This window comes from Homo sapiens, chromosome 10 (genome assembly GCF_000001405.40).
Source record: "Homo sapiens chromosome 10, GRCh38.p14 Primary Assembly".
Taxonomy (NCBI): Eukaryota; Metazoa; Chordata; class Mammalia; order Primates; family Hominidae; genus Homo; species Homo sapiens.
This window is the reverse complement of record NC_000010.11, coordinates 78,265,513-78,290,784: the sequence shown is the minus strand read 5'-3', so window position 1 is coordinate 78,290,784 and position 25,272 is coordinate 78,265,513. Positions and strand designations below refer to the sequence as shown.

General features: G+C 49.7%; 1 long non-coding RNA gene across 1 annotated transcript, besides 2 other annotated features; it reads right to left on the bottom strand.

Annotated features, from left to right (window-relative positions):
• Positions 1-10,571: 10,571 nt before the first annotated feature.
• Positions 10,572-23,443, bottom strand: LINC00595 (long intergenic non-protein coding RNA 595). Its single transcript, NR_073447.2, has 3 exons — positions 23,299-23,443; positions 11,291-11,386; positions 10,572-11,190 (listed from the first exon to the last, which is right to left on the bottom strand). It is a non-coding gene; the product is annotated as a long intergenic non-protein coding RNA 595 (long non-coding RNA).
• Positions 22,673-23,221: an enhancer, noted in NCBI's record as "H3K27ac-H3K4me1 hESC enhancer chr10:80027321-80027869 (GRCh37/hg19 assembly coordinates)". NCBI's record gives its function as "activates a minimal SCP1, AML or CMV promoter by ChIP-STARR-seq in primed H9 embryonic stem cells {active_cell/tissue: H9 hESC(primed)}" and the evidence as "EXISTENCE:reporter gene assay evidence [ECO:0000049][PMID:30033119]".
• Positions 23,222-23,772: an enhancer, noted in NCBI's record as "H3K27ac-H3K4me1 hESC enhancer chr10:80026770-80027320 (GRCh37/hg19 assembly coordinates)". NCBI's record gives its function as "activates a minimal SCP1, AML or CMV promoter by ChIP-STARR-seq in primed H9 embryonic stem cells {active_cell/tissue: H9 hESC(primed)}" and the evidence as "EXISTENCE:reporter gene assay evidence [ECO:0000049][PMID:30033119]".

The following is a 25,272-nucleotide window of genomic DNA, read 5'->3' as shown; positions in this document are numbered from 1 at the left end:
TAAACAGGTTGCACCTTCATGCAAACACTTACCTAGTGCCTGTTGCCTGAGCTCAATTTATGCTTGCAGAGTAACGTGACCATTCTGGTGTATCTGGTTTGTCTATGCCATATCTCCTAAACATGCAGCGCTCCCTCTCCTCCTTCCCCTCAGAAGCTTCTGAGGGGCAGAGTTGTGGGGAGGCCAGAGCGACAGCAGGCTGTGCAGCCAGGAGCCGGCACAACAGAGCAGGCTGTCTGCTCCCTGCAAGCCAAGCTGGAGCTGGCAGATGGGGATCAGGGCTGGGACCTTCCTGACAATGATCATCGCCACTGCTGAGGCTCAGTAAAATGGCCAGGAGCAGGTGGGTGCAAGGTCTGTACTACCCACCCTTGGGTTGGGCTCTGGGCACCTCGTCCAGGTGCAGAGGGAAGGCTTGGCCTTCACCCCAGCACCCTCTCTGCCGCCACAGACTCACCAGCCCCAATTTCTGAGTCATGCGCTGATTGACCATTAGGGGACTGACTCTCTCGAGGTCTGCCGGGCTTCATTCAGCAAACTGTTTTCTCATCTCCTTGGCTGCTCTTCCTGGGAATAAGAGGGTTTGTGTGGCTGGCTCTGTCTCTCTCCTTGTCTTGCTATCTTCACGCCTCCATGTGCATGGGTTAAGATCTCTCCTGCATCTCTGCCTTCCGAGGTCTCTAGTTGCATCTCTCTGGCTTCTCACCTGTCTCTCTAAGTCTGGACCACTCTCTCAGGCCTCATTTGCCTTGGGTATTTCTCTCTGACTTGCATCTCTTTGGATGCTGGTGAGCTCTTCTCTCAGTTGCCCCTGTGGCTCCCTATGTCTTGGGCCAGTCTTCACGTTCCTTTTTCTGTTTGTTGTTTCTGTGTTTATCTCTCTCTGCAGTTTCATGTGGCTGAGTCTGTCTCTGTCTGTACCCCACCTGGCATGGGGGAGTGAGGAGGCGTCTCTCTCCGAGTCTCAAGGCACCTGCCTCTGGTGACAGGCTGTCCTTGGAATGAGCCAATTAGACTGCAAAAGTCATCTCTCCACCTTCCCATCCCACCCACCAGCTCCCACCAGCACACACAGAGACACACCTGGTTCCCTAAGCTTTGCGCAGACAACATGCCCAGGAGGAGCACTTGACTCTGCTGAACAAGTCGCCCCTCCCACCCCTAGCAGCTGAAGTTCTCATCTGCTCCACAGAAAGCAGCCCTCAAATGCTGCCTCTGCATCCCACAGCTGTGTGACCTTGGGCACATCCCTTAATCTCTCCTTCCCCTGTTCCCCCAAAAAGGGTCTCAATACAGCATTATGCTGCCTTCTCAACTGACCCCTCCAGGAGAGGATAATGAGGACTCGATACCCATTGGGAAGGCCTTCCCGTTAAAGGAGGAAAACGCCGAGTTTGCCAGCACAACAGCACCCACCTCCTCCCAAGAGGAGCCTCAGCACTGGGGCAGTAATGTCGCTCGGGATCAGAGGTGGGACCAGCCATTTCACCTGGAGAAGAGCAGGGCTGTCCTTCCAGCTCCTTGCTAGACAAGAAGGGAAGAGATCTTCTCCTTAAGAGGCTGTTGCTTAATGAAAAATAAAACTAAATGCAGCCATAGATAGCACACTGATGGTGGGAAAATCTTACTTGACCCCCCCGCCCCGCCGATTCTGTGCCTTTCTGAGGGCAAGAGGAAAATGGAAGTACCCTTATCTGATGGTTCCTGTCTAAGGAGGCAGGAAAATGTCAGCTGGTAATAGGTCCCTATTTTCTTCCAGACATCCACACGGATGCTCCCAGTGTCCAGGAGAGGCCATGCGTGGAGCCTGCAGGAGAGGGGGGCAGTGTGCACCATCTCTAGGAGCAGCTTTTCTAGATGAAGGGCCTAGACTATGGGATCTGCAGAGTTGCAGGAGATGTATGCAGACTCCACCCTCTGGACCAGGGGCTGTGCTGAGGCCAATTGTGTTAGGGAAGGCTTTTAGAGCACAGCTGCACACCAGGCACTTGACATACGATGTATCATTAGTGAGCTCAGCCTCTGATGAGGCAGGTGTCAGTATTAGCCCCCATTTTACAGATGGGGAAGGGGAGGCACAGAGAGGTCAGGAACTGGCCCAGAGTCACTCAGTCCCCTAGCTAGACATGAACCCAGGCAGTCTAATTCCAGAGTGTGCACTCTTAACTACTGTGTGATGTATGTGGACTAGAAAGCAGGACACACAGCGAGCAGGGAAATTCACTCCGTGTGGTGTGGGCACTTAGCACGACTTCTTAGGGACCAGAGAAGCTTCCACTATCATATTTTGTTTTCATTAGTAATGGTTTTTTAAAATGTCAACAATCGCTGAGCCAACTTCTCATAATCAATCCTTTATATTTAAAAAAAGGTCAAAACAAAGTTACATCGTGGATGATTTTAAATGTTTACATTTCACAAATTAATGCTTTTAGCCTTATCAATACAATGCAATAAAAATTATGCTCTTTCCAAGATAGCTACATTATTTTAAAAAATAATGTGATTTCAGAGTGCACTCAAGTAACATGGGCTGGCGATGGGGCAAAAAATGTAAGCGTGGATAATCATCTCTCTTTGAATGTTGTTGCTCTGAGGCTACAAGTCTAACTCTCCTCTTTAGAGAATAACATCAAAAGTCCAATCTGGGAGGAATCAGCCCGATGTTGCTGGCTTTGAAGATGAAGGAAGGTGGCCATGAGCCAAAGAAAGGACTTCTGTTCTACAGATTTGTAAGATAATAAGTGTGTTGTTTTAAGAAAAAAAAAAGAAAGAAAGTTTAACCTAGAGACCCTTCATGAACCTAGCATTTCTTCTCTCCCACTCCCTTGGAAAATACTAAGTATTTACAAAGAACAGAAGTAGTATAGGAAGGAGGTGTGATCAGTCTGTCATGGGGAGGGGTTGGGAATCAATCAAGGATGGTGTCACAGAGGTGTTGACCACTGAACAGGGGTTCTGCAGGATGAATAGGAGTTCACCAGGTAGATAAAGGGGGAAAGAGCATTTCAGACAGAGGGGAAAGCCTGTGTAAAGGCTAAAAGTTAATGAGCAGTCTGTGTAAGGTCACCAGCCATGGTTCAGGATTACCTGATTAAAGCACAGAGAGAAACTGTGGGTGATGGGAAGATAAAGTTCGAGACCAGATCTTGCAGGGACTTCATGGTAAGGCCTACTCTGCAGAAAAGAGAAAGAAATAGAAGAGGCTGGAGTTCAGTTCCTTAGAGGAAGTTTCAAATATCCTGGAAATGCTTAGGCTGGAGGCCAAAGAATTAAGGGAAGACCAGAGTGTGATTATACCTACAGGACAACTTTCCCATTTTTGTGAAGAATTTTTCATTCCACCCAGATGCACGGGGCTAAGAATGTGCATGAAAGTTAACAAGAGGTAATGATAATCAAAGGTGTCTAAGAATGGAATGGGCCACAGAGATAATGGGTTCCCTATCATTGGAGGTATTTAAGTAGAAAGCAAAGGGCTGCATGGCAGAGATGTTGACAGAAGACTCAAACATCAGGTGAAGGCTGGACTAGCTAATTTCTGAGTTTCCTTCCAGCCCTGAAAATCTCAGATACTATTTTGCCTTGTATTAGAATAGATTCAAGACATTGCCTTTGGGGGGAAAATAGTAATCAAAATGTAAATACCATGGGAATAATAGATTTGGCCTAATTATCAGCGATTACTCAGAGTTTGTCATTATTTCCGTACAATATATCCCAAAGTTCCGGAAAACAAATCAAAGAAAGTACCACGGTTGATGCCATTAATAGAAGCAAAACACTTCAAGACGAGAATTTAATTTACTGGGTGAGTTCTTGAGGCACGTTTTTGTTGATGAATATTTATAAAAGTGGGTTAGGCTGGACCTGGTAATGATTGTGAAATATCTTAATGCTGTCCCCCTCATTAATTTACTTTTAATGAATGACTTGGTAAAGCGTAACCATTTGTACGTAATGATTTCATTAATGGCTCTGGCATATGCAACCGTTTTTCACACGTTTGAATGTCACTTGAATAAAATGATACCTTAAATTATACAGTATAATAAAGTATGTTTGTTGAAACGTGACAAGTTTCTGCCTCTTTGTACTCAGGCTCCAAGAATAGGTTGCATTTGGAATAGCAACAGTTTAATGGGACTCAAGTGATGGATTACTTTTTCCATTTCTGAGTTTTCTCTCAAAACTGGTTCCTGTGAACCCTGTGCATGAAAACTTAGAGCCAGAGAACCGCAGTGAGCCCCTCCTAGGCCCCCACCTCACTCTCCTCTTCTCAGTCTTTGGGATTCACTTAAACCCACTCCTAGGAGTATCAGGTCAGCCAGATTATCCTATATAAGAAGAGTGCCTGTGGGCAGAACCAGGCCAGGGGAGGGGCCATTATGGGGATGGGACTCAGACAGAGGAGGAGTTTGGGAGGGGTGTGGCCTGGCCAGGAGGCTGGGCCTGGGGGCCATTGCCTGGTGAAAGCAGCACACCAAAAGATGCTTCCCTTGGCTCACTCTTTCTGTTCATCTCACTGTCTGGCTCTCACCTGTGTCCTCTAAGGACTTTCCAGCCTTGGTCATATGGGGTGCCATCCCAACATAAGTCAGCTTTGTAGAACCAGCTTGGGAAAACAGAGAGGCCTCCACCTATGTAAAATGGGTCCCCTGTCTGTTTCTCGCAAAGTGTTTATCCAGTATGCACCTGCTGGATCTATTTGTTTGTTACTTATTTAGTGCAGGGACCACACTGCTCATGTTTGCTATTGATTCCCCACCCCTGGAACACTAGCAAGTGATCCAAAAACATTTGTTGTCAGAGAGAGAGACAGACAATGAGGAGGGAAGGGAGGAAGGGAGGAATGGGAAGAGAAGAAGGGAGGAGTGGAGAGGGAGGAAGGAGGAAGATGGACTGAATTAGATTTGAAGCATAAAGCAAGGAAAGCCACTGGCCAGGAAAAGAAAAGCTTAGGACCAATGCCCTTGGCTCCATAGAGCAGCCATGTCCCTTCCTGCCACCCACCACCCCACTCCCACCAGGCTGTGCCCCCTGCCCGCTTCACCTCTCCCCACCCCTGGTTCTTATTCCCTCATATCACCATGAAAGTGATGGGAAATGAATCAGGTGTTTCAACAACGATGAAGACCGTATTCCTCTGCAGGTGTATGATGGTATGTGGTTTTCAAAGTGCTTTCCTATCTTTGATCTCTTCAAATTCCTGCCCCGTCTGTCTACCTCATAGGGTTGTTTCATTATTCCCACATTTTTCCAGAGGAAACGAACTCTGTGGAATTAAATGCTGCCTCAAGGTCATGGAGCCAGGAAATGGCTGAGCTAAGACTTCAACTCAGGTCCTGGATTATGCGGCTGAACAGCTTTTAATATTTCTCAGCCACTTAATAGGTTACCTCTCCCAGGAGTGTTTGCATTTTAAAAGACAACTGAGAGAGAGAAATGTATAATCCAAATGAATGAATGAATGGTGTCTAGTGCAAAAGCAGGTGCACAGGTGATACTTTTGCACAAGGGCCAGAGGGACATGGCGGTCCTAGAAGACTCTTAACACGTAGGCTTTCAGGGCCAACAGATCTGGGTCCAGATCGCTTCCATTCCACTTACTGACCCAGTGATCTGGAGCCAGCTGTTTCTATTTCCTGAGTCTATTTCCTAATCTGTGAAATGGGGATGATAATTCCACCTCAAAAGGTTGATGCAAGGCTGACAGGTGTGGAAATTGGCACACAATGGGTGACAGCAAACAGCATCGTTACATAGAGCACCAAGAGAACAGGGCCGATCCACAGCTGGCCTCAGCATGAATGAGGGTGCTGAGCAGGATCCGGGTCCTCACCCAGCCCAGCTCTGCAGGGGAAGGAGAAAGGAAGACAGGAGATGGCAAGCCCAAGACTGCTTCTCCAGGCCCATCTCAGTGCCCAACTCTGGGCTGGAACCACCTATCTTTGTGCTAATTCCTCAGTTATTAGGATCAAGCCCAGATAGGAAGGGCCAGGGTACCTGCAACTACACTGCAGCCCTCATCTCCAAGTCTTCCCCCACCTCCTCAGAAAGATTTATGGAAAGATTAAGGGGCCTTTTTTTCAATATCTATTAATATTCATGGCAGTCTTCACAGCCATCTGCTTTTAACGATTTTGTTTGCAAAGACCTGAGATTAAAATATGGCCTGCTAGTGCTCTGAAGCATCTGAACTGAAGGCGATAAAACAAAGGCCTTTTCAGGAGCTCCTGAGCCTGCCTGTCACTCTACCTGCAGCGGGGGAGACTAATGACTAGTGGAAGGGAGGCTGAGATTGGTTCCGGGGCCAGTGCTCCCCTCAGGCAGGCAGGGTTAATTGGGGGGGAATGAACAGCCCCAGCTCCCTCCTCACCACCATGCAGAGGGGCTCTGGGGACAAGGGGGCTTAGCTAGGGCAGAAGGGTGATGCTGCCAGCATCACAGGGGACACTCAGAGCTTTGAGGGCCCTGAAACCCTGGGATCAGCATTCTGGAAAGAAGGTGGTCAGCACTAGATGTGCCCAGGGGTCCAGAGAGGGCAGAGGGAGCCCCTTACTGTGATGCTAAAACCCAAATCCCACCAGTGCGGGTTTTCAATGAGATCTAAGAAGAAAGGGAAATACATAATCCAAATGAATGACTTGTGCTCAGTTCAAAAGCATGTGGGCCAGGCACGGTGGCTCACACCTGTAATCCCAGCACTTTGAGAGGCTGAGGTGGGAGGATCACTTGAGGTCAGGAGTTCAAGACCACCCTGGCCAATATGTCGAAACCCCATCTCTACTAAAAACACAAAAATTAGCTGGGCATGGTCGTGCACACCTGTAATCCCAGCTACTCATGAGGCTGAGGCAGAAGAATTTCTTAAACCCGGGAGGCAGAGGCTGCAGTGAGACGAGATCGCACCACTGCACTCCAGCCTGGGTGATAGAGCGAGACTGCATCTCAAAACACACACACACACACACACACCAGCATGTGCACAGGTGACACTTTGACACAGGGGCCAGAGGGACAAGGTAGCCCCAGAAGATTCTTAACACAGAGGCTTCCAGGGCCAAAGAGGGCATCAGTGCAATGCAAGCTAAAGCCTAGTGTCTTTGTCCAAACTTCCAAATGCAGTCACCTCAATATAGCCCTGTCTTGCATGGAATCCCCCCTTAGTCATCGATATCTAGGGGTGCTCTTGGCCAAGCTGGTGACCCTCACTTGGCCTCATCCAGATGATGAGTTTTCAGTGAACTTCTAGGATGTGGCTTGGGGACAAGGGCAGGACAACCAGTGGAGTGGGCTGGGGCCAGCCTGTGTGGCTGGGCTGATTGTGCCTTACACAACTGCAGGGGGCACCCCTCCTGGCCTCCGCAGCTGTCCTGAGTGGGCCTGCAGGCCTCCCACCTGCAGCAGCTCCAGGTCTTTCTGCTTTATGTGGGGAGGAGGCTCATTTGACTGAAGGCTCCTGCTGCTTTGGAATGTTTGCAAAACAGCGGAATTCCATTCACTCCTCCCAGTGCACAGACTCCTCTCCTCTCTGGCTCCATTCAAGGTTGCACACTTTCAGAAGATCCCAGCAGGGCAAATGCCTGCTTCCTGGAGCAGGCAGGTGGTCAAAGATGATGGGATTCCACTTGCCTGCCCTGCTGTCCTTCTTGTGCCAACAGGGTCACCTCTTAGTCCAAGCCTCAAACTTCCTGCCCCAGTCTCCTGCCTTCCAGGGTAGAGAGTCACTAGTCTTCTCTACCTGCCTGCTTCCATGGGTCAAGACCTGACCACAAATACCAGGAAAACCCCCTTGCTGATTGCCATGGGAAAGGGAGAATTTGAGGACAGGATCTCCCCGGAAAGCCACTTTACGCTAAGGGAAGAGACTCTGTTTGTGACCTCACAAGGTTGGGATATTCTTGCTTTATTCTGGCTCCCTCCCTACGTATTGTGTCCACTTATGACTCTAGAGTCAGACAGCCTTTTTAAAATGTGGCGGACCCCACCTGCCACGGGTCCCCATGGCCTACAAACATCCATGCAATCTTCTGCCAAGCTTCCAAAGCCGAAGGGAGGGAGAGTGGCAGCCAGCCAAGCCCCCACAATCCTGCAAAGGGGTTTGTCATGCTCTGCCCATAGTAGTACTCCACCTCTTTTGTCAAATCCGATTAGACCCACGTGGAACCCATCAGATCCTCTCCCCAGAGAAACCTGGTTCCTCAGTCTAGGTTGTGGCAAGCTGAGAAGGGGTGGCCATTTTCCTCACAAGCCAGCCAGCCTCAAGTAGAAAAAAAGAGTAAAAAGGGCATGATAAGAAAAGCAGAGGTTGACGGGTCCCCCAGGCTGGCCAATCGTGTGACCAGCAGCTCCTGAAGGCCAACAGCTCCTCCCGCCCTGGTGCCCATAGGATACTTTGTGGAGGCTTCCTTTACCTCCCTGCCTCTGCTGGAGCCACTTTGTGTTACTGTCTAAAATAAGACCAAGGCCTCCAAATACCCACACCTTCCTGGCCTTGACCCTCCAGGTCTCACTCTCTGAGCTCCAGGCAGTCAAAACAGGTCCCAAACACATCCTGAGCTTCTTCCTGGGCCCAGGCTATGCCCCATGCCTGGGATGTTCACCTTCCCTTTCCCCCAGAGGCCTGGCTCAGTCTATACACGCTGCCCCTTCCAATCAAATGGGGTGCCACCTCTCCCTCACTCAGTGCCCAGGGTACCTTGGCATCAGCTTCCAGACAGTGTCTGTCCTCCAGGGACTTCCAAAGTAACAAGAGGGCTGAGGCCAGGAGGAAGTAGGACACAGATATCCTCTCCTACTCAGGTTTGAATCCCCTGCAGTGCCTGGCTCTGTGCCTGGCACTCAGTAGACTGTTATCCCAAAACTGCTTTTTGCTTTGAAATGAGCTCACTGCTCTGTGGGAGGCATTTCTAGCACACACTGATGTGATTGTTTAGCCCTCATGAAGACCCTAGAACAATGTCATTAGATGGGCTCTTGGAGAACGAGTTCAATTCTCCCATTTTACAGCTAGGGAGACTGAGACCCGAACCAGATGCCAGGTCTCCTGCCCCACAGGACCAAAGCTGTCGCCAGCCCATGCTCCTCTACCTCGGAGGCACTCCCTTCATATCACAGAGGAGCACATAAGGCCTCCAGGGGTTAATTTTGGCAATTTCCTCCATTAATCACATCTCTGCCAATCCACTACCAGGTAATTGAGGAGTCAAGAGCCACTGCAGAGAAATGGAGTTTCAATTTAAAAGTCCACCTACAAGTGCCATTTGGGAAACAAGAGGAAAGGAAAGTATGTGTGTACCGGTGTGGAACTGTGAGCCTGTGGGTGTTTATGAACACGTGTGAGTGTGTATGTGTGTGTCAGCGAGTGAGTGTGGGGGTGCCCCATGACCTCTCAGAACAGCCTGGTCTCCTGTTTCCAGGCCCACTCCAGGCCATGCCCACCTGCCCCCGATTCTCCATGGCTCCCCCCATCTGATGGGGGTCCTCAACAGACCACAGCCCTTCAGCAGCCCCCAGCTCCTCGAGGGAAACTCCACCCTCTCAATGAAACCCAAGGTCTGTCACCACTAAGGTACATCCCGCCTACCTTTCCAGAGCCTTTACCCATCCAGTTCTCCTCCTGATACCTCACACTGTTCTCCAGTCACACCAGATGTTCACCACGGATGGGACATGAATGCACCACCATACCTGTAAGTCTTTGCATGAGCTGTTTTTTCTGCCTGGGATATGTGCTCCTTTTCCTCTAACCTTCAAGGCTGCAAACTCAAATATCGCCTCTTCCATGAAGCCTTCTGGTAACGCCAGGCCACTCCTCCTCAGGCAGAGTCAGCCACTCTGCACACCTCTAAATGACAGCTAACATTTGGGGACCACTTTAACTGTGTTACTTCATTTACCTCATCTTGTACCTCCTCCTGTCCAGGACACCCGATTATTGACCCCATTTTACAGGTGAAGACATTCCAGCACAGAGAAGTTGAATGACTTGCCCGAGGTCACACAGCTACAGCAAGATATCCCCAGGATTCAAATCCAGGCAGCCCGGCCCACAGCCTGTGCTTTTGCTCCCTCCATCACATGGTTCTTAGGTGCCCACATGGCACATGACACCTGTGCAGTGTGACACAAGAGAAAACAGAAAACGAGCTACTGTCTGCCTGTGTGTCTTCCTCGCTGTCCCGCTACCCTGAAAGGACCCTCTTTCAAGCCTGTGTCCCTAGCAGCAACTGGGGTCATAGGAAGGGTTCTGAACCATCCAATGAAGGAAGGAGTACTCTACTCGTATGAGTGTGTGTGTGTGTGCGTGTGTGTAGCACAGGACTTTGTGAGAGGGTTATGAAGATGAGTGCCCATAACCACATGTATGGTGTTTGAAGGGGTCTGGGAGCAGATCCGAGTGCGTGTGTGCATGTGTGAGTGTGTGAGTGTGTGTGTGCATGCACCCTCGGGCACGCTTAAGCTTCCCAGCGGGAGGGTAGAGGCCCCATCTCAGCCGCATGAATACTTAAAGCCCTTAAACCGCACCACTTCATCACTGATATTTTTACAAAGTTGTCACAGAGAAATATCATTTTTCTCCCTCCTTTATTTCATTTTCTTTGGGATATAGTAATTAACAAAAGCCGTTAGATGCCAGCAAAACTGTTTCTTTTGAAGTTTCTACATGGCTGTCACCCGGGAGATAAAGGCAGATTATTCAATCTTGACATTATAATTGTGGATGCCAGATGAAAGCCTGGATTAGACACTTCACAGCCCACTTGGAGGGGAGGCTGAGATCACCAGGCGGCGATCCCCCCTCAGCTGGGAGGGCAGGGGAGCTGGGCGGGGGCAGGGGGTACCCCACATTGGGGAGGGGGTGGCTCGCTGCATGGCTTGGCTTCTTTCATTTGAGTTGGATGGTCCCCAAATCACACAGTGTTAGATGGAAGGAACATATTCCATATGGAGGTGGAACAATCTAGAAGTCAGGAGTAGAACTCTTGAGTCTGGTCTATCAGCTCCCGTGCCCCAAGGCTGCCCCCCCCCCACCAGCCCACACCCCCTCCTTGATTGGCAGGGACTTCTTGGCTCCCTGACTGAAGGCCAAGTTCCTCAAATGCGGAGGGTCCGGATCCTCCAAGGCCGTGGACCCCGGGTTCCAGTGCTGATGACTCCCTCACTGTGGCTGGGCTGTGGAGAAGGCTGGAGAGGTCAGGGGAGGGAGAGAGTCATTTGCCTGCATGGAGCCCACCCAATCCCCCTTCATAAAAGAAGTCACCAGGCCAGGCACAATGGCTCACACCTGTAATCCCGCTTGCCCTTTAGGAGGTCGAGGCAGGCAGATGACTTGAACACGGGAGTTTGAGACCAGCCAGGGCAATATAGTGAGATCTTATCTCTATAAAAATACAAAAAAAAAATTAGCCAGGCATTGTGGTGTGCCTGTGGTCCCAGCTACTTGGAAGGCTGAGGTGGGAAGATCACTTGAGCCCAGGAGGTCGAGGCTGCAAGGAGCTGTGATCACGTCACTACACTCCAGCCTGGGGTGAGAAAGCAAGGCCTAGTCTCAAAAAAAGAACCACCAACCAGGGAGAGGGTGAGCAGGGCAGGGCCAGAAGAAGTCCCAGCAATGGAGAATGAGAGGTCACTTTTTAGTGGAGGCAGAAGGGCCAGATGCAGATGCCCTGGAGAGTATATAAGACTGGAAGCTTCTACAGTGACTGATACCGTCTGATTTCCCAGGTCTACCCTGAACCAAATTATAACCTGGAATCTTCATACCCTATCCAGCCACCCACGGACAAGATTTTTGCTCTTCATTGTGTTCATTAATAATAATGTCTGTTAATAAAATTATGAAATGTATCAGTCAGGATCCAACCAGGAACCCATAAACCATGGGAGGTATTTAAAACAGAGGGAATTTAACATGAGGACTGGAGACACAGGTGAGGAGAAACCAGCAAGGCAACCCAGAGACCAGCACCAGCTCTAGACCCTAGGGAGGTAAGGAGGGAGGAAGGAGGTGCTGGTGACGAAGCCCAGGAGCCAGGATGACCCAGCCACCCTGGAACCTCAGTAGGTCACAGAGAGACATGGCCAGCCCCTGAGAGCAGAACAGGGGATGTGGAAGAAGGGGCTCTGAGGACAAATTGAGCAAGGTCTGGCCCGCTCATCAACATTTTGAAACCCCAAGCTGGATTTCCAGTTTCTCTGCAAAGAGCAACGCCAGGCCTGCTTTTTCTTATGGCCACAAGCATCTGAAAGGGATAGAGGTGGTCTCCTTCAGATAGGGCATGCTCCTCTATGGTTTTTCCCAGGTCCCGCCGGGACTGCCTTATTCATTGATGGTACCTATGAGTATTTGAATTTGCAACCCCTGGTTTCAATCAATATACCCATTTTGTAGAGAGAGAAGCTGAGGCCCAACCAAGGGGAAGTGATTTACCCAAGGTTACAGGATGGGTCAGGAGTAGAGGCAAGACCAGAACTTAGAGCCCTTGGATTATCTTAAGTGCAGAATTAATTAGCAAAGATGGAAAGCATCTGTGGAGTGACTGCATCTGTCAGCGGAGAATGACTCACCTCCCTTGCTGTGGCCGGGCTGTGGAGCAGGCCAGAGAGTGGTACTTGCTAGACCAGCAGTGCCGTTGCTCCTGTGTGCCCTGGCCATCAGCCTTGCCATGAAGGCCAGCAGGAGAAACGCCAGCAGTGATCACGAGGAACGACTCAGGCAGGACAGCCTGTTCTGAGGCTGCTGCAACCACTTAGGTGCTATGTGACCACAGCAGAATCCCTCTCTGTGCTCCATAACGCAAGGTGGTTGGGCCCGACGCCCTCCTGGAGCCTTCTCCACTCCACCGGGCTGGAATTCTATTTCCTGGGGAGAGGTGGGAGGAAACCATACCCCCATAGAAGCCAGCTGAGTGCATGAGGGTCCTTAGAAAGGAAGGTCGAGGGGGAGACACTGGGAAACATAAATCTGCTGGCACGGCTCTCTCAGAAAGGGTTTTAATTAATTGTTTTTATACGACATAAGAGCAACTCATTACCGAACAGCTTTGATTTGTGACACCTGCATTATAGATGATTTTTAAATTAACATTTCCCCAATAAAAGGTGTCAGTAGAGAGCTGAAGGCGCCCAGAGAAGTATAAAAGGATAATAGTATGAAAATACAAATAAACACCAGCCCAGCCTAACAAAGGGGGCTGCTTAATCAATTTTACAATTAATTAAGGCTGCCTGGGATGGCTGGGGCCCTGGAGGCAGTTCAAGGTACTGGGTTGAGGGACTCAGGCATCAAATGCTAGGACAAGGGAAAGTGTTTGGGGCTTACGAGAGACCTGCAGTGAGAATGTAAGACGCTCTGCTAGGCTTCCCTGGAAAGGGAGAGAAACAGGAGGCAAATCTGTCCCAATGAGTATCCTTTCTCCCTTTGTTGTCCTGGATTTGTCATGTGTGCATTCAGTATTTAGAGAGCTCCTACAAGCTATGGCAGGCAGAGCAGAGGCACCCAGGTGAGAGGGAGGAGCAGCACACTGGAGACGCTGAGAGCTCCATGTGTCTGACGCAGAGTGAAGGGCAAAGGAGGAGAGAAAACTGGCAGGGTAGGCAAGGGCTAGACTATCATGGCCTCTGAAAAGGGTCATACGGCATTTGGAGTTGTTTTCAGATGTCGTTTGCAGAGTGTAGGTAAGGGAACCACATGAGAAGATTTCCATTTTAGACAGAGGCTCCTGGCTGCCATGTGAATCATACAATAGAAGAGCAGAGGGAGGAAAGACAAGTGACCCAAGCAAGACCTGCTCATGGATGCAGTTCAGACAGCAGTGGCTGAGGGACAGGAACAGACCCAGGAGAGGCACAAGAGCTAGAGCCCACACACATGTGTTGCTGCTGCATGCCTGTTGGAGGAGAAGGGAAGGGGAATTGAGAATAACTCAAGCCAAGGACAGTGCTGGAGAAGCAGCTGTGAACAATACACAGATAAGGTCCCTGCCTTCAGGGGTTTTACATGGTCAGGAGAAACAGAAAAAAGACCCACAAAGGAATGAGCAAAGGACTTGGTAGCTCAGGACTGTAATCCCAGCATTTTGGGAGGCCAAGGCAGGAGGACTGTTTGAGCCCAAGAGCTCAAGACCAGCCTGGGCAACAGAGTGAGACCCTGTCTCAAAAAAAAAAAAAAAAATTAGCTGGGTGTGGTAGTGCACACGTATAGTCCCAGCTACTCAGGAGGCTGAGCTGAGAGGATCACTTGAGCCCAGGAGTTCAAGGCTCCAGTGAGCTGTGATTGTGCCATGGCACTCTAGCCTGGGCGACACAGCAAGATCCTGTCTCTAAAATAAGAAGAGAGAGAGAGAGAGAGAGAGAGGAAGAAAGGAAAGAAAGAGGGAAGGAAGGAGGGAAGGAAGGAAGGAAGGAAGGAAGGAAGGAAGGAAGGAAGGAAGGGAGGAAGTGAGGGAGGGAGGGAGGAAGGAAGGAAGGTAGGACAAGAAGACAAGAAAGTCAAATCAGTTGCTGTGGCTGGGACAGCTGAGAGCAGCACAGTTTGGGACAGGGTAATCAGATGGCTATCAGGGAAGGTGACATTTGACCTGAAGGCTGAGGAGCCAGCCAGACCAACATCTGGGGAAGGGGTGGTCCAGGAATTCATGCAACAAGTGCAAAGGCCCTGTGGCTGGGATGAGTAGGAGAAGGCAAAAAAATGACCCTTAACCTCCCCCATTTCTACTACACTCTCTTAGTTTTATCTTTCTTTTCCTCTGGTTGACCAAGAAGGGTTATATAATTGGTGCATAATTGGCATATAATTTGAGGACTGTACATAGAGGCTGTGGAGCATTGAGAAAAGTTTCCAGTGATCCATGCCAGGCCCTGTCCACTCCTCTCTGGAAGACTTGAGCCCTCCAGAGGAGCCCGTCTCCACCTCTATACCTCCGACTTCCCATCTTGATCACTATCTGCCCCAGACCTCTCTCCTGAACTCCAGACCCACCTGGGGGTCTCACAGGCAATCATCTTCCTCCCAAAGTCCATTTATCCCTCTGTGTTTCCAATCTTAATTAAAGACGCCACCGTCCAACCAGACACTCAAAAGGGAGACCTAAGAACAGTCTTGATGCTCCCTCTCCCTATATCCAAATCCTGTGGGCTCTTCCTCCTTAGAGCTCTTGAACCGATCTCAACCCATTGCATGCCATCCTAATGGCTCTAGCTTTCCACATGTCTTACCTGGGTGACCTCAGCAGTTTCCACTCTCCTCCTATCCATGTACCCTGGACACAGCAGCTGGAGGAGTCCTTCTAAGTGAAAACTTGTCCTGCTGTACAACTGCCAGAAAAGCTTTGGGGACTTCCCTTGCTCTCCAGCTAAAGTTCAAACACTATTGTCATGCTTTTTGGGGCCCCTAGAGTCTAGCCCCTCCCTACCCCCTTGGAGAACCACCTTGCCCACCCCCATGCTTTGGTATCCAGACACAAGCATCTCCCTTCAGCTCTCCCACCTGTTTTCTTTTCTCTCTGCCTGGAACATTTTGGGTGCTCTGCCCTATACCCTGGCCCTCACCATTGTCTGGCCACCTTCAACTCCACAGCCCAGGCTGCAGGCTCGTCAAATCAAATGCTTTTGTAATTGTTTCATTGTGTAGCTCCTCCCAGGCTGTAAGCGCCACCAGACCTGGAACTATTTGTCTTATTTGCCCCATATTCCCAACACCTATGGACAGACCACAAACACTGAATGGAAAAGGAATTAATGAATGGATGAATTAAATGCTGTCACATACCACAACATGCCTCACACATACTAAGAGTTTAGATGGTTAATGAGGTGAACAAGGACCAGCATCCTTAATTTTGCATTATACATTTCATTGGCTGGCTCTCTCACATGTTCCCTAAGAACATCACTCTCCCAGGGTGGTCATTGATCCATCATTTGTACAGTGACAGGAAGAGGGGACAGAGCTCCACTTGAGATAGCATTTCCTGCTTGCACGAAGCCAGTGGGCAATGTGAGGCCAATAGAACGTCTGCACGGTCTGTGGACCAGCTGGTTGCTGTGCTCTCCACGTCACCCCAGGGTCCAAGAGGACATGGCTATCAACAGGGGCTCCTGGCTGGGAGATCTGGGTGCTTTGTCTCCTTTGCATGACAGGCATGTGAGATTGGTGGCCTCTCCCAGGCTAGCCCCAAAACAGGGCACCTCCAGCCCACACTTATGGGATGAGAGGAGCAACTGAACAGCAGGGCTCCTTGTGTCCAACACCAAGGTCAAACAAGTGAGTGTGTCTGAATGGGCTGTTTAAGCAAGGGTGCCTTAAGGCAAATGTTGGGACCTGAGGCTCAGGGAGGGTTAAAGCCAGTAAGTGGGGCCAGTGTCGCCGACAGAGCTATGATGTGTGTGTGCATGTCAGACCCATTCACAGAGCTCCAGGTGGGCTTAGGGTGAGGGTTAGGGTTAGGATCAGTTATCAGAGTGGCTACAGGGAGTTTACCTCTAGCAAATTCCCCAGGCAGACCAGAAAGTAGACAACAAAGGCTGGGGTAGAGGTCAAGTTTAAATACACGGGTCCCTAATAAACAGGAGAGATGGCCTGTGCCTGAAGAAATCTAGGAGGACATCCCAGAGGAGGTCAGCTTGCACTGTGCCCAGAAAGCCTGGGAAGGTTGAAGAGCAGGAAGTTCCTAATCAAGCCACTGCTTTCATCTTCTTCAAAACCTCCCTGTAGAAAGAAGCACCTGTGAAGGGCAGCATTCTCCTCCAAAGTCAGAGACTCAACCATCAGTGGTGCAGCGACTGAAAGTCACAGTGGAAACAGATCATGGAGTCCAACCATCCACTTGACACACGAGAAGACTGAGACCCACAGAGACAAACTAAAGTCATCCTTTGCTGTTGAGCAATGCTCCGAAATGGGCTTCTCCCCACGAACCTGCACAATAGGTTTTACTCTCCTCCATTTGACAAATGAGGGGACTGAGTCCCAGAGGGGTCACAGGGCTTGTGGAGGTCACACAGGACCTGTCAGAACCAGGACTGTCAGAACCCAGGCTGGCCTGACTCCATGTCTAACACCCTTAAGTGAATTTTTCAGTCTTTGGTTCTGATTATTCTGAGACAGAAAGAATAATTGGCAGTTGATGCTAAAAATATGTGTAGCTGTTTTGATTGACAGTATAAACTCAGTGATGTACAAACAGGGAATGATTCTATTTTTCTCAATAACTGATATCAGCTTTGCTTGGCAAGCTCCCACCCCCACATTGGGAGTTGATGAGGAGGAGGGAGGGATGGAGGAAAACACTCTTCAAATAATGGTATCTTCATTCCTTCTGACAGATTTTTTGGTCACATTTTATATTTGTAGCTGTCACTTTCTAATTATTAAAAATTGTCATTGTCTGGTTGAAAGCCACCTCCTGCATGGTGTCCTTGAGCCCTAGTAGCAGGGATGGGGGTGCTGCCACCTGTCTCCCGGCCCAGCCGCTGGTTGCTTCTGGATGGCAAGCCTCTAGCCCTGGGAGGCCAGCTTGTAGCTCCTTATCTGGCATTGCAGAAGACCTTCCAGGGCTGAGCTGACACTTTCTCTACAACCTGTTGACATCAGGAGCCCCCCACCATGGCTTCTCCCTCCCCTTGCTCCTGAAAAGTTTGGGAAGAGGGGCATTGCTGTTCCCCCCTCACCAAGTGAATTCTGCTCTTCTGTTTGTACAGAGAAGGGGGCAGGGGGCACCCTGCTTTTGCTAAGACACCTCTCTCTAAGCAAGCCCTGCAGTAGACGTAGTGGTAGAGATCGCTCACTCTCTGCCAAAATCCAATCTCCCCTAACAAAGTGTGGCCAAGCCCAAAATCGCTGTCCAGACCAGGAGTCAGAAGTCCACAAACTATGACCCACCAGCCAGTTCCAAACCACTAGTTAGTTTTGAACGGCCATGAGCTAGGAAAGGCTTTTACACTTTTTAATGGTTGGAAAAAAAGAATAATATTGATGACACATGAAAGTGATATTAAATTCAAATTTAGGAGTCCATGAATAAAGTCTTATTGGAACACAGCCATGCCCATTCATTTGCATATTTTCTATGGTCTTTGTCAAGCTACAAGGGCAGAGTTGAGTACTTGCAATGGAGAGTATATGGCCCCACAAAGCTGAAACTATTTCCTATCCAGCCCTTTACAGACAGCAGTTGCCAACTCTGAAAAAGACTACACTTCCCAGGCTCCCTTGCAGCTAGGTGAGACCATGTGCTAAGTTCTCACTAGTGGAAGGGGAGTGGAGATGACTTGGGACATCAGGTGCCCCTCCATGCTCTCTTCCAGCTGTGGCAGGACCAGGCATGGCACCTCCCTGCTCCAACACTGAGATTACACCAAGGGTCTCAAGGATGGTGGGGCAGTGGTTTGGAGGACCCCAATCCCTGGATGGCTGTGAGGCTCAGCACTGCCCTGCCAACCCTGGCCATTCACTTTAGAACTGTGCAGTGAAAAAGAAAGAAACTTCAGTCCTCCATAAGCCACTTACCTCATCCTTACCCTGACTAGTACAGATGTTTATGTTCAGCTGGGCACTGTGTCCAGAGTACTTTACCCATCTATGCCAGTTATATTTAAGAATATTGTGGGCCGGGTGCAGTGGCTCACGTCCGTAATCCCAGCACTTTGGGAAGCTGAGGCAGACAGATTGCTTGAGGTCAGGAGTTAGAGACCAGCCTGGCCAACATGGCAAAACCCCATCTCTACTAAAAATACAAAATTCAGCCAGGCATGGTGGCACGCGCCCATAGTCCAAGCTACTCAGAAGGCTGAGGCACAAGAATCGCTTGAACCCGGGAGGCAGAGGTTGCAGTGAGCTGAGATCATGCCACTGCACTCCAGCCTGGGTGACATAGCGAGACTATGTCTCAAAAAAAAAAAATTAAAACAAATTTTTAAAAAGGATATTGTTCTTGTGCAGAAGCCTTGCTTGATAGATGGAGTTGAGCCCCACCTCACATTGGTGCTACTCTATAGAGCTGATAAGATAACTGTTCATATTAGAGTTATTCTGTTTCCAAGGAAGAGAGAGGCTGCGAGTTCAACCAGAGAGACTCAAAGAGAGAAATTACCGACAGTCCCCAACTTATGAGGGTTCCACCTGGGATTTTTTGACTTTACAATGGTGCAAAAGCAATACACATTCAGTCCTCTCCTGAACTTTCAATGGGGCTACATCTCAATAAACCCATCAAAAGTTGAAAATATCTTAAATAAAAAGTGCATTTTTTTTTTGAGATGGAGTCTCACTTTGTCACCCAGGCTGGAGTACAGAGGCATTTCTCAGCTCACTGCAACTTCCACCTCCTGGGTTCAAGCAATCCTCCCACCTCAGCCTCTTGAGTAGGTGGGACTATAGGCATACACCATCACACCCAGCTAATTTTTGTATATTTGTAGAGACAGGGCTTCGCCACGTTAAACTCCTGGGCTCAAGTGATCTGCCCGACTCGGCCTCCCAACGTGCTGGGATTACAGGCATGAGCTACCATGCACAGCCCAAAAGTGCATTTTTGACTGACAGTATTTTCAGCTTACCATGGGTTTATCAGTATATGGCCCCATCGTAAATCAATGGGCATCTGTAGTTTGATATAAAGCACATCCTCACCAGAATACCTAAACAGGAGGCCAGGAGCAGCCTGACTCCATGGGAGCCAGCACCCTGAGACTGTAGGGGAAAGCTGCCCTTCCAGGACTGAGGTCTCTCTCATGGCATTCATTCACCTTTCTGTCTCCTTTCTCAGCCAGCTGGCTTCCTCCAATCACTCATAGCTGGTGATCATGATGAGTCTCCAGCCCTAGGTCAAGCTCATCAACTCTACCCACCTCCAGGCTCAGCTTCTTTCATACCTTTCCCCAGATCGAACTCAGATTGGCCCAGCCCGCACTTTTGAGCCATATCACTCAAATTATATAGTGTGGACAGTCTTTGCTTCAAGTGACCACCCCGGATAAATCAGCAGATGTCCAGGGGACACAGACCTGTGGCACCAACACAGCTGCCACCCACACAGCACACACTGGGGAACAGGGGTTTCCCTTAGCCAGGAAATCGACCTCTCTAAGAGGTCAGAGAGTTCCGTGGCTAAGGGTTTGGACTGTGAGCTGGAATGCCGGGTTCACCTCTACCTCTGACATGCTGTGTAGCCACGGGCAACTTACTGTATTCACTTGTGCTTTGTTGAAATAGGACTCATAACAAAAACACCTGTATCACAGGATTGTCAGGAGGATGAAATGAATGAATACATGTGAAGCCCTTTTAGAATAGCACTTCCTGACATGTAGTAAGCTTTCAGGGAAGGTTAGTGATGCGAATTACTGTCATTATCTGTAAAACAAGAAGGAAATAATAAGTCAAGTCTCTATAAGTCTCTATTCCTTTGCTGTAAAATCTCTCAACGTGCACTCAGTGAATGGTCCAGGTCAGCCTGAGGAAAGCACGATGGTTTGCCCACAGACCACCTCCCTAAGGAGCACAGGGGCACAGGCACTACCATCTGCTGAGGAACCACTCTTTCCATGCCATCCCCATGCTTGGTCCCCTTTACTACTGTGCATTCAGCCTCACCATGAGCTGGTGAGGATAAAGCTGAGAGAGTCAATGAGTAGCCCAAATTCAAAGACTTAGGATTAATTCGACTCACTGTTTCCATCAGAATGGATGACCCAAGGGGTCCACTGCAGACTGTTTGCTTGTCGAGTCTAGTCCATTTGGAGATGCTAAGGACAGAAAAAGGGGTTCCAGCAGCAAGGTATAGCAGGACTCCAGTGGGAGTGGGAAGGGTGGAGTGATGTGGATGGGATGGGAGGAGGCCCAGAAATGGGAAAGGAAGGGCAACACCCTCTTGGGAAAAGAGGGTAAGATTGGGGCAGGCGGAGGACGTGGCCATGAGCTTGGTCTATCCTCCCACATTTGGGTTCTCCAAATGTATGCGGCAGAGTCCCCATTTAGCAAACAGAGCCCTGGCCAGCAACAAGGCCAGCAGCCCTGGGTGCTCATCCCAGGTCTGCCTCCCTGTCCCTGTGTGACCTTGAGAATGAGGCCCTGCCCCTATCCCAGTCCCAGCCACAGTAGCCACATATAGTAGACCAGATGACCTGAAGGGCCGCTTAACTCTGGGTCCCACTGTGGTGATGTCCTAGTTTCTGTTGTGTTCTTAGGGCAGATCCAGAGCACAGGCTGCCCCATGACTCCCATCCAAACTTGGGCCCATGGCATTTCACTCCCCAATTTATTGTATGCTTAAGAGTCATGGAAAAAAATAAATAAAACTATTATCCTCAAAACCCCAGTAGGTCTCTAAATGACTACTCCACTAATTAGTAGCAGCTGTTAATGAAGTGTGCAGGTACAAGCCTAGCCTCGTCAATTAATCCATACATGCTCCTGGGCTGCAGTAATATTTAAAGGGGAAATCGATACTTGACAGCTGGGCCTGGAGAGGTCTCTGTCTGGGTGGGCAGGGAAGGTGTAGCATTTCAAGGAACTTGTCACTAAAATAGCTTATGCCTGGAGCACAGTGCAGGGGCCAGAAATGAATACAGCCCATAAGGGGCACAGGAATGCAGACATGCCTATGGGGAGCTGAGGGAAGCAGGGGCTAGGTGAGCAGGGTGAATAGGCACCTGCTCCCACCATGGGTGGGCAGACAGCCACATGCCAGGCCAATAGGGGCACACCCTTCAATTCTTTTCCAGTTCATCATTGATATGGTTTGGCTGTGTCCACACCCAAATCTCATCTTGAATTGTAGCTCCCATAATTCCCACATGTTGTAGGTGGGACCTGGTGGGAGATAATTGAATCATGAGGGCGGTTCCCCCATACTGTTCTCGTGGTAGTGGTGATAGTGAATAAGTCTTATGAGATCTGAGGGTTTTATAAGGGGAAACCTCTTTCACTTGGCTCTCTTTTCTCTCTTGTCTGCCACCATGTAAGACATGACTTTTGCCTTCCACCATGATTATGAAGCCTCCCCAGCCACGTGGATCTGCGAGTTCATTAAACCTCTTTTTCTTTATAAGTTACCCAGTCTTGGGTATGTCTTTATCAGCAGCATAAAAATGGACTAATACAATCATATCACAAATTCACTTATTCCTGGGGGGTAAGGGGGTTGGAGGGGGGTTGCTATACCTTCCCTGGGCAGACGCCATGATCAAAGCCGCCAGATGAGGCATTATGCTACCTAAGGTTGCCAAGCAAGTAAAAGTAACAATCACTTTCCTGGCCTACACTGGGCTAAACACCTTACAGGTATCATCTCATTTAATCTTTACACTAGCCCAATGAGATGAGAACTATGATTCCCCACTTTTGGAGCTGAAAATGCTGCAGCTTTGAGAAAGCTGGTTATTGGCAAGGGTGGTATTCAAACCCTCATAATCTAAGCTTATGTGCTTAACATACACAGACTCCTAAGTAGTGATAAGCCTTGAGCCCTACAGAACAAAATCCAAACCCCTTGACATGGCTTACGGCATCTTGAAATCTGGCCCCTGACATTAGATTCCAGTTGCTGCTATAACAAAGTACCACAAACTTAGTGGCTGAACACACACAAACCTATTATCTTACAGTTCTGGAGATCGGAAGTCTGAATGAGTTTCATTGAACTAAAAACGAGGTATTGGCGGGGCTGCGCTCCTTCTGGAGGCTCTAGGGGAGAATCTGTTCTGTTGCCTTTTTCAGCATCTTGAGGCCGCCTGCATTCCTTGGCTCATGGCCCTTCCTCCATCTTCAAGCCAGCAATCACATCCCTCCAACCTGTGCTTCCATTGTCCCATCTCTCTCTGACTCTCTTCTGCCTTCCTCTTGAGAGAGCTGAGAAGCCCATCGGGGGCTTTGGAAGCAACTTAGAAACGAGCAATAAGAAGAAGCAACCTTTCTGAACCTTCCCCACTCCACTCACACAGACACATGCAGTTAAGGGCAACAGCCCCTCCTCTGAGCTGCAATGACCTCATGCCAAAGAAATGGCTGAGGTCCGTGAGCCTCTGTCTGATCCATGGTGCATCTCAGCACTGAGCCCAGAGCCCTGCACAGAACAGTTACTCAAAGAAAGGTCCCCTGGGCCAGGGCTCCCTCCTCCATACCAGAGGTGAGGGCACCACCCCAGCCCAGGGCTCCCAGAAGAGGTCATGGTGGCAGTTAGGCAGATAAATAAAATGCATTGGCTCAACAGCTGACCTCAGCTGCTGAAAGCCAGGGCTGCTGTGCTGATGTGCACTTTGCTGCCAATCACATGCTTGGCCACCCGGTCTTACCTATTTGGAGAAAACAGTGAGGGGCAGACAGATCACCCCCTATCGATGAAGAGACCCTGGGCTAGGGGTGTGGGGTGCTTGCTCTGAAGGGTCTGGCAGGAATCTGTCCACGATGCTGCTTGAAGGAAACACTGAGCTTGCTCTTAGCTCAAGCAGTTGAGGCTGGCTTGTTACCATGCAAGAGACACAGGGCAACACCATAATTAGAATCCTGGGTTAATAACCTTCCCTGATTGGACGTTTCCACAGCTCCTCTTCCCCAGCTGTTTATCTTGAGATCGCTGCTGAAGGGGAAGGGAGGAGACTGGGAAACTGTACCAGGGAGGAAGGGAATGGAAGCAGAAAGGAAAAGGGGAAGAGGAAAGAGCCCAGAAGTAGGCTTTACCAAGCAAACCTGGGTCAGGCCCAGAACAGGACACCTAATACCATACGGTGATCTCACCTCCCACCCACCCAGGGCTGCAAATCGTCCCCACCCCGCCCTGGGACTAGGTCTCCTCCAGGGGCCCCATCCTGGTTAATGTCCCCACTCGTCCCCTCCCTGCCAGCAGACTAGATACCCTGGAGTGACCCTGGACTCTTATCTCCTGAGAGGCCCTCTCCTCACACACCAGTCGATCAGTCACCAGGCCATGGCCATTCCAGCCATCCCCTGTCCATATCCTTAGTGCCGCAGCCTTGATGGGGCTCCTGCTACCCCCTCTTCTGGCTTCTTCCAACAGCCTGCTAGTGAGTGGCCCTGCCTCTGGCCTCACCTCCTAATCTATTCTTTTTTTTTTTTTTTTTTTTTTTGAGACTATTGTTGCTCCTGTTGCCCAGGCTAGAGTGCAATGGCATGATCTCAGCTCACTGCAACCTCCACCTCCTAGGTTCAAGCAATTATCCTGCCTCAGCTTCCCAAGTAGCTGGGATTACAGGTGCCCACCACCATGCCCGGCTAATTTTTGTATTTTTAGTAGAGACGGGGTTTCACCATGTTGGCCAGGCTGGTCTTGAACTCCTGACCTCAGGTGACCCGCCAGCCTCGGCCTCCCAAAGTGCTGGGATTACAGGCGTGAACCACCGCGCCCGGCCTTCAGCTGCTAGTATTGTTTTTCTAAAATAGAAATGATCACACTAGCACTTACCTAAACCCTTCAGGGGCCTGCTGCCATGTCCAGGGAAATTCAAGGCCTTCACAGCCTGGACCTCACCTCCCTCACCAGCTCCTTCTCCTCTCACCTCCTCCCTCCTCCTTCCCACCTCCCTCACATCACTGTCCAGAAACTTCATCAGTTCACTCATGGACACGCACACACACACATGCTCATGTGCACACAGGCCCACATGCACACATGCTCTCACACACACAATGCACAGGCACACATGCACACACACACTGCCTTTTCACCTTTCCACTTGCTGTTTTCTCTGCCTGGAATTCTCTTCTTCCCTCACCTTGTGAAGAAGCTCATAGTCTGAAGAAGCTTTAAAAATTTGCTCTAAATCTCGAGTCTCTGCAATTGCATTCAGGAGTCAGCCTCTGTGACCTCCCCACCCTGACCCTGCACCCTCCTGCTGCCCCATCCTGCTCCTCTACCTGTCTCGACCTGGTTTGTGCCTTACCTCCCTAACTAGCTGTGAACTCCTGGCAGCAAAGACCTCCAAGACCACCTCAGGGCATAGCATGGGGCTGGATACCAAGCAGGGAATCCCATAGCCTCAGGCAGTGAGGGGGAAGGCTATCTACAGAGCGGTCCCACACACTTGGTGGGGGAGGAAATCGGATGTCTATTCATAAGCATTGATATTCTGCTGCATTTTCCATCAGGATCCTCCCTCCTTTTAATATCCCTGGTCCCACATGGACCTGAGTAACAGAGGACAGCAATCAGTTCTGGTGTTTACTGAAGTTCAGGAAATGTTACTGACACATGATATGGTTTGGATGCTCATCCCCTCCAAATCCCATGTTGAAATGTGATTCCTCAGTGT